Genomic DNA, 8,137 nt, shown 5'->3' on the forward strand with positions numbered 1-8,137 from the left:
AGGCTGGCCAGGGGCTGTGGCCGGAAGAGCCTGAGTCTGGGGCCCACAGCAGGCCAGGCACAACTCTGCCACTCCCCAGGGAAGGAGGTAACCCGGCCTCTGTGAGGCTTCGTTTCTGTATCTGCAACATGGAGAGAAAGAGAATATGGAGCGGAGGCGGTGGGCGGGGGCGGCGGGGAACAACGTACGAAAGTGGATTGTAAGTTAAGGAAGGAGCAGGCAGTTGTGATGATGAGTCTGTGTTTAACCGGGTCAGCCCCCAGAGCACCGTGGCCACATCCCAAATAGTTTCCATCCTAAGCTTTCCTTCTCCCTGGGCCTAGGACCCCTGTCCATATAACAAAGCCCGGATGAATGCTGAGCTTTGAAACAAGAAGCCGTGGGAGAGCTTTCTGTTTGGACAAGAACTGCCTTTGGCATAATTCTGAGCACTCTCCTCTGATGTTTTCAGAGTAAAGGCTGAGGCGGGAGTCAGTGGGTAGGGAGAGGTGCCAGGCAGATTAGGAAACCCAGGTGGGCTGGCCCCGGGGTTGGGGGGAGGGGTGGGTATTGCTAAGTTATCAGTTATTTAACCTTATGGAGTTTTATTTAACCGTTTTTGTTTGACATGTTTTATATATATGTAATTTTATTTATTCTTCACAAAATCCCTGTGAGGGGGGTGGTACTATTGTCCCCATTTAAAGATGAGAACACTGAGGCATGGAGATATTAACAAGTTTACAGATAGTGAGAGCCAATAATAATAATAATAATCAGGAATTGTTATAATAATAATCAGGCATTCTGATCCCAGAGCTGGAACTCTTTGAATAACTGATTATTTTGGTACAACAAAGTATATGGCTGCCCCTGTGGAGTTGTGGTCTCCCCTAAAAGGCGAGGCTATTTGTGGCATCAGTCACGAGGGGAAGAAGAATTAGGGTTCTGGGAGGCAACAGAAAGGGGCAGGGAAACGGCCTGGTGGGATTCGTCTCTCTTGGCCTAGTTGGAAAAGCCGGCAAGCTATTGAGGGAAGAGGCTGAGAAATGGAGGATTTGGGCACGGTGTCTGGCGGCTGTGCCAACCCACTGGGCCCAGGGCGGAAATAGCTCAGAACACGCGGGAGAAGGCAGGCAGGGGGAAGGCCGGGAGAAGGCAGGCAGGGGGAAGGTCCCTGGAGGCTCGGCTGTTTGTATTTCCTTGTCTAGTGGTTACTTGTCACCTGTGACTCTTGCCTGATGCTCAGTGAGGGCACTTGGGAAGATCCAGCTCACCTCACGCGTGCTTGTGGGGTTAAAAGACAGGAGCGCGAGGAAGGGAAGGGGAGCGCGGGGAAGGGGAAGGGAAAGGGAGCGCGGGGAAGGGAAGCGTTAGCTCGGGGAAGGGAAAGGAAGCACGGGGAAGGGAAGGGAGCGCGGGGAAGGGAAGGAGATCACGGGGAAGGGAAGGGGAGCATGAGGGAAGGGAAGGAGAGGGCGGGGAAAGGAAGGGTCAGTGCGAGGAAGGGAAGGGTCCGCGCAGGGAGGGGAAGGGGAGGGCAGGGAAGAGAAGGGTCAGCACGGGGAAGAGAAGGGGAGCGCGGGGAAGGGAAGGGTCAGCGCGGGGAAGGGAAGCAGATCGCGGGGAGGGGACGGACAGCGCGCGGAAGGGAAGACCACATTGGTGGTCTCGGAGGTTCCAGGGAAGGTGACCCTTGGAGGGGCAATGCTCGCCCCACATGGAAATTCACACTCCAGCCAAAACGCAGCTGACAGTGAGGATGTTTTCCGCTGAGAGGAGCCATAATTAGACCTAAACATTAACAGCAAATCCAGGACCATCCCTCACCAAGTAGGAGAATAAGGGAGTCTAGGCTGTAATCGGGCCTGATTTCCCAAAGGAACATATATGTTTTCTTAACCTTATCCAACAGTATTTTATGATTCTAGGCCCTTGATTGGGGCCTATACAGGACCAGCTACTCCCAGAAAACGAACAGAAAAGAGAACATTTTCCGAGTGTGCTCTTTCCTCCTCTTGGCTTCTGTGTCTGTGTTATTCCCAGGCAGAGGGTAGGATCCATCGGATTTTCCATATTCCTAGGCCAGTTTTGAAAGCTCCTCCCCAGATGCTGAGACCACATTTCCCGTGCAGGAGGAGGTGGATGGGGAGAGTTTGCATCTGGGAGTATAATTCAGGTAGAGTTGGGTTTTTTTCAAAGTACATAAAAATCCTTAAATATTGCTTTGTGCTGTATATTTTTCCTAAGTATGACGTCATGTCGAAGGAGCCCCTGAAGCCTGTTCCCTTCTTCATTTGTGAGACCAGCTCCCACTTTCTGTGTCCCGTGCACGCTGCAGCCTCTTCTGGAAACTTAACATTGGGCTAGATCAGTGCTCCCTCTCCAGCATTGGTGGAGGGGTGTGGAGGGGATCTGAGCAGCAGCTCTGAAGGACAAGGTGTCTCCTGTAGCCAGGTGATGGTGGCCCAAGGCTCCGGGGCTTCCCTTGCCCTCCCTGCCTCTCTCCTACAACCATTCCTGCCTCACAGTTTTGCAATCATGGTGCCTGTGTGTGGGAGGGCAGGGAAGGTGGGTCTTTCCCTGAAGCAATGTAGGCAAAGGCCTTGATGGATGTAAAGTGAGGGTCTGGGAAGCTAGGAGAAGAGTGTGAACTTACAGGAGTGCATGCGCCCCCAGCACCACTCTGAGAAAAAAAAAGAAATGCCAGCTCACTGCACCAGACGGAAGACATCTTTTGAGGATGAAGACAGCCACTAGACAATGAAGCAACAGGAGACTTAATCTTAAGAGTTCTAGCAGCCAAGGGGGTGTCAGGCAGGCCCCAGGCCACATGGAATGCTTTGCCCCTCTCCCTGAGTTTAGGGCGGGGATGATGAGGTGAAACACCCCTGACGCCCAGGGGCAATTGCAACCTGCCTGTGGCAATGAGGTTCTGAGAAGGGACCATCATTCAAATCAATGGGCTTCCACCTGGGTGCAGAGGAGATCAGGCCGCCTGGGAGAGAGTAAGCAGGAGAGGGAGCCAGCAGGAAGCAGGAAGCAGGATGAGGAAGAAGAGAGGGCACAAAGGAAGGGGTAGCTCAACTTCCATTTGCCTTGGCTTTAGAAGAGTGTCCAAACGGGCCTCCATAGTGCATGATGAGATGGCTGGGGCCAAAGTCCCAGGGGCAGATGGGTGGGCCACCTGTGAGTGGGGAGCCCTGTGGATGTGTGTGTGTGTTCGCGTGCGCGCGCCAGCAAGTGCTAACTGGACAGCAGTTCACTCAGTGACAGGGTTTGCTCACAATAGTCCCCCAGCAACCCCAACTACCAGGGATCAAGGAAGCCCAAGTGTCTCCATTTACCACAGAGAAAAGAGGGTCGGCTATAATCTGAAGGTTTATGTACCCTCAGAATTCAAGCATTGAAATCCCAGCCCCTAAGGTGATGGGATTAGGAGGTGTGGCCTTTGGGAGGTGATTATCCATGAGGGTGGATTCCTTATAATGGGATTAGTGCCCTTAGAAAAAGGCCCAAGAGAGCCTCTTCACAGCTGGAGGGCACCGTCTGTGACTCGAAAGCCCTCACAGGAGGCTGAATCCAGCAGCACTTTTATCTTGGACCTCCCCACATCCGGAACTGTCAGAAACACGTTTCTGTTGTTTATAAGCCCCCCAGTCTATGGTATTTTGTGACAGCAGCCCAGACGGGCTAAGACAGGGTCCAGATTCACGAGCACAATTATATGCTGGCACAGAGGCAGAATCTTAAATCCCAGACCTAAATTCCCCAAGAGCCAGAATTCAAAAGAGTCCTCTCTAATTGCCTTTGATGAGAATTCAATTTAGGAAGGATTCTATTAATAGTTTAAACTAACCAGTAGGAGCTTCCCATATCTTCTCCGCAGAACCAAAATTCTCTCTAAACAGCTGAACCTTCTGCAAGCTGAAGATTCCTCATCAGTTTAATAAGAGGTTTGGAAAAGAGATTTGGAAACGAGTGGATGGGAGGGGGCTTTCTGTTTCTTTCCTGGTAGACGTGTCCCCAAACTGGCCCCTTCTTAGGCCCAAAGAGGCATTTATTTGGTATAATTGGTGACTGATTCCTTTCTAACATCTTGGATTAGGACTTGAAATAATCTAGTCACAGTCCCCTGCCCAGGAGTCACGCGTGTTCTCAGGACAGACTGAAGGTGGGGTGCGGGTGACGGAGGAAGCGAAAGAGGCCCCTCTACTTGCCCCTCAGTGTTTCTATGCTCCATGGCATTCCTTTTCTGACAAAGACAAGCCTGAGCTCTGGGTGCCTGCCCTGAAGGGGATGTACCCAGGAGGCGGGTATAGAAGATTCGGAATTGAAAATATCGGGAAGGAGAAAAGGGAATGGAGAGAACAGGGACGTTGAGGGAGATGGATCAAAGGGCCATTTGTTGAGAACGTGCCTTCTCTCCCCTAGAGTCCTGGGTGCCCCATTTGATGAAAGCTGTCTCTCCTCCTCTCTCCTTTCTCTCGCCTCAGAGGAGGTACTTTGGGGCAACCTTCTGCTGAGGAGAAAGGGCTCATACTGACGTGTATTCCTTTCAAGTAGTTGTTCCTCCCTTTCCTTCCAAAATGACACATTTTGAAAGTGGAACAGGTCCAAGCATGCAGAGAAGAGTGGAGAATAACGTCGTGAGATACACTCACCACGCTGTTTGCCACATATGTTTTGAAAAATGTTTAAATCAAACCCTCTGGATACAGTCGCTTTTGACATGCCCTCCCTCCCTCCTGGCTCTCCCTGCTCTTCCCTGCACCAGCCACAGCCTCACCCCATCCCCACCTGCCACGCACGATCCGGGAGAGTCTGGAATGAGTATGCTTGTATTCGATGCTGTATTCCTCCTAATTGAGCAGTGAGAAATACTCCTAATGGGGCAAGAAGAAACCTCTGCTGGATGTCCATGGGGCTTGGTCTGAAGCCAGTTTGCCCCAAGGATTTATTTGCAGAATTTCTAGCAAAGGCATTAGGGGGAAAAATGTTACATTGAGAAAATACAACCCAGGACTTTTCTGCCTCTCCCCACCTCCAGACCCTCATTTTCAGCACTGAGTTTTCTCTCCACCTTCTTCTCGTCTTAGCTTCTTTGGGGTTTCCCCTACCTGGCCCTTCTCTGAACCTCCAATTGCCAGCCTGCATTTAGGCTCCGGGAGTGGGTAGCTCTGCTCTGTGCATGGCTTTTCCTACCTGGTGGAAGGTGTGTGTCCGTCGGAGAGGCAGCTGGTGCCTGGAGACGTCACCACCCACTTACCTTCTCAATTTCCCTTTAACACCTCTTCTCTCAGTGCCAGCTGATTCTAACTTCCAGGTGCAGAAAGCATTTGGTGCAGCCAGAGGCCACCCTCTGCTCACAATGGATGCCCCTCAGCTGCCAGAATTTTCCACTCCACGATGATTTGCCCCTCCCCCACCATGCATAAAGGAAAAGCCACACACACGTGTGTTATTAAAATGAACTGTTTATATTATCTCCGTTGAGTCAATACATTATAATGTATTAAAATGGAAAGGTACAAAATTGAAATAAATACTTTCTGATTCATGTATAAATCTTTTTTTTTTTTTTTTGTCAAGATGACTTTTATCATCAGTACATGTCACAAGAAAACATTTAAAATGACACTGAAACAATCATTGAAATCATGGTGCATGGAGGAAAAAGGTAAAGAAAACAACTTTTGGCTTGTTTTGGCATGAGACCTTGATACAATTTGGGTTCCCCAAAACCATGTGAAGGGTGGTAAAATAGAAATGCTCAAAACTGACTTAAAAAAATAAACAGGCTTTACAAAAACCCTCTTTTTTCTTAACCCAGCCACTTCTCGACATGGTCTGCACATACAGTAGATACATTCATTATTGTCCAAGGGAAGACAGTAACTGCCTTTCATTTTAAAGAGCTTGGTGGAGAGGCTGAAGAAATGTGCTGCAGCTGAAGGTGAGTAGAATGTTCCAGAGAACACAAAAGTCTAGATGGTCTTCAGAAACAGCACTGAGCATGATGTGGGGAGGGTCTCTGGGAAGAGAGGTGGAGGTGGAGGAGGGTGCGGAGTCCAGATCTGAAGCCACGGAGACTGAGGATGGAGTTGGGTTGTCAGTGGTGAACGTGGGGGCAGGGATCTCTCCGCCTGAGCAGTCCTGGGTTTGTCCTCAGCCTGGGAACGTTGCTCTTTCAGCAAGAGGCGAACCCTGGGCTTTGGAGACGGGGCTGGGGCTCTTTTCAGGCATAGCAGCAGTGGGGAGACTGGGGACAGGCTTGCAATGGATTCCACGGGAGGGGCTTCTCTCCTGGTTCTGACTGCTTATTAGGTGGTTATTAAGGCAATAAGGACTTAAGCAAACTAGAAGTTAAGGGCAGCTAAGTTCAGCCAGATCAAAGGTAAACAAAAGGTGAGAAGGTGTCCCTTTCTCCTCAGCTACCTTTCCCCCAAGCACAGGAGGCCTCAGCTCCTGAAGCTCTGAATTTACAGTACACAGTAGCAGACGGCTTGCCCTTTGGAAGGCTCCATGGAAAGAAGGCTCATCCCTGACTTGGGGCAACTTGACCGAAGTTTCTACTCTCCAGAATCTCTTTTCTGTGGTCACCCGACTGGCAAGTGGAAGATGGAAGCACCAAGGTTCCTGCAAAAGATAGATCAAGACCTTTGCTATCAACCTTTCAGCCCATCCCAATGGCCTTGAATGGCACGTGTCCTGGAAAACCAGGTCTGCTGCCTGTACGCCCGAGCGAAACCTATGCTCAGCTGGAGAAGAGGACAGCCTTTCAGGGTTCATGAATGTTCTCCCTAGAACAGATGGAATGGCAGCTACAATGCCCTTGGGAATGTGAGGTCCTGGTGGAGTCTCTGGGGAAGTGAAAGAAGCTCCTTTAACTTGACTCCACTCACAGGACAAAGTGCAGGAGACAGAACAGAATGGATAGAAGAGGCTTCTCCTTTCTTCTTGCTCTAGAGTGAAGGAGATGGACAGTTACCTTGAAATGCTACGGGAAGGATGAGCATGGAGAGCTGCCTGTTATTCTGAGCCAACTTCTGGCAAGATGCTGGGTGAATCGACTGCCTAGAATTGAAGAACTGGCTCTCAAGCAGTTGCTGCTAAAGAATGCCAGCAAACAAACCACACACAACTGTGGTAAGCCAGGCGGAAATCCCTCCACCCTCTGGCATGAGATGGCAGTCTAGAAAGGACTCTCCATGAGATGCCTGGGGCCTGAGGAAGCAGAGGCATGGACACACTGTTCTACGATGACTCAGGGCCACCCATGAGTGGGACATTCGTGGGGATGAGATGGGAGCAGGGAGAAGCAGCAGTTGTAATGGCCAGCCACGTGGGGACCAGTTCCGTGCCTGGCCTTTCTTTCTCTGGTGGAAGCCATCTTGTTTTGATCCTAAGAAAAATGGGTGTCATTTTATCCAGGAATCTAAGAATTATAATAATAAATTAATAAAGTGAATGTGATAATCAAACTGTGAGGATACGAACAACATAAGATTTAATGATCGTTGTCAAAACCAGTCCGTAGGGCTGTGGAACTTTATCGTACAATTCGACTTTGATATGTGTTTAAATATATTTTCTAAGTTATCCACAACCCAAAACAGGACCCCTTAGAGGTAATCTAGAGGAATCCCTCACGTTACAGACAGAGCCACTGGTTAAGGGTCTAGAGTCACACAGGGAGTTACTGCAGAATCACTACTGGAACCCTGTGCTCTTTCTGCAGGGATTCGGATATTTTGGTTGGATTTGCATTCTTACGTCAATGTATGTTCTCCAACTCTGCTCTTACATATTGAAAGGCAGGCAGCTATTTTTAAACACCCTGCCTATTAGCCTTCGGAACATAATAATAATGGCAAGCACCCTTTATTGCTTCACCGAGCTGCAGACACCCTTCTAGGGTGTGAACAGAGCTCAGTAAAGATAGCAGCCTCAGGTCTGTGTGTTGCTTTGAGCCACGAGCTGGTCTGCAGGCAGCAGCCATGGGCCGTGCCTGTGTTGGTATGTTTAAGAACATTGGCGAATACAGGAATTACATGGACTAGGTTTAGAAAACAAACAGTAACGTACAAAAAGGAAGGTTTGATATGGACTGCAAGGACATAAAGCAGGTGCACATGCGTGCACTACCAGAATAGCT

The 8,137-nt window shown here is 49.7% G+C and overlaps 2 long non-coding RNA genes across 6 annotated transcripts in view; one reads left to right on the plus strand and one right to left on the minus strand.

Moving 5' to 3' along the window:
- LOC101929248 (uncharacterized) lies at window positions 1-7,463 on the plus strand. Of its 5 annotated transcripts, none has more exons than XR_002956693.2 (4): window positions 1-87; window positions 5,572-5,659; window positions 5,813-5,935; window positions 6,414-7,463. It is a non-coding gene; the product is annotated as an uncharacterized LOC101929248 (long non-coding RNA). The 5 variants fall into 5 exon arrangements; XR_007060823.1 differs by having other exon boundaries at window positions 3-87; window positions 6,435-7,463; XR_007060822.1 differs by adding an exon at window positions 2,064-2,158 and having other exon boundaries at window positions 24-87; window positions 5,572-7,463.
- LOC112268022 (uncharacterized) overlaps window positions 5,439-8,137 on the minus strand; it is a 26,576-nt gene continuing 23,877 nt past the window's right edge. The window contains exon 2 of the long non-coding RNA XR_002956694.2: window positions 5,439-6,618. This is a non-coding gene — a long non-coding RNA (uncharacterized LOC112268022). The remainder of the gene's footprint in view (window positions 6,619-8,137) is intronic.

Source organism: Homo sapiens, chromosome 8 (genome assembly GCF_000001405.40).
Source record: "Homo sapiens chromosome 8, GRCh38.p14 Primary Assembly".
Lineage (NCBI taxonomy): Eukaryota > Metazoa > Chordata > Mammalia > Primates > Hominidae > Homo > Homo sapiens.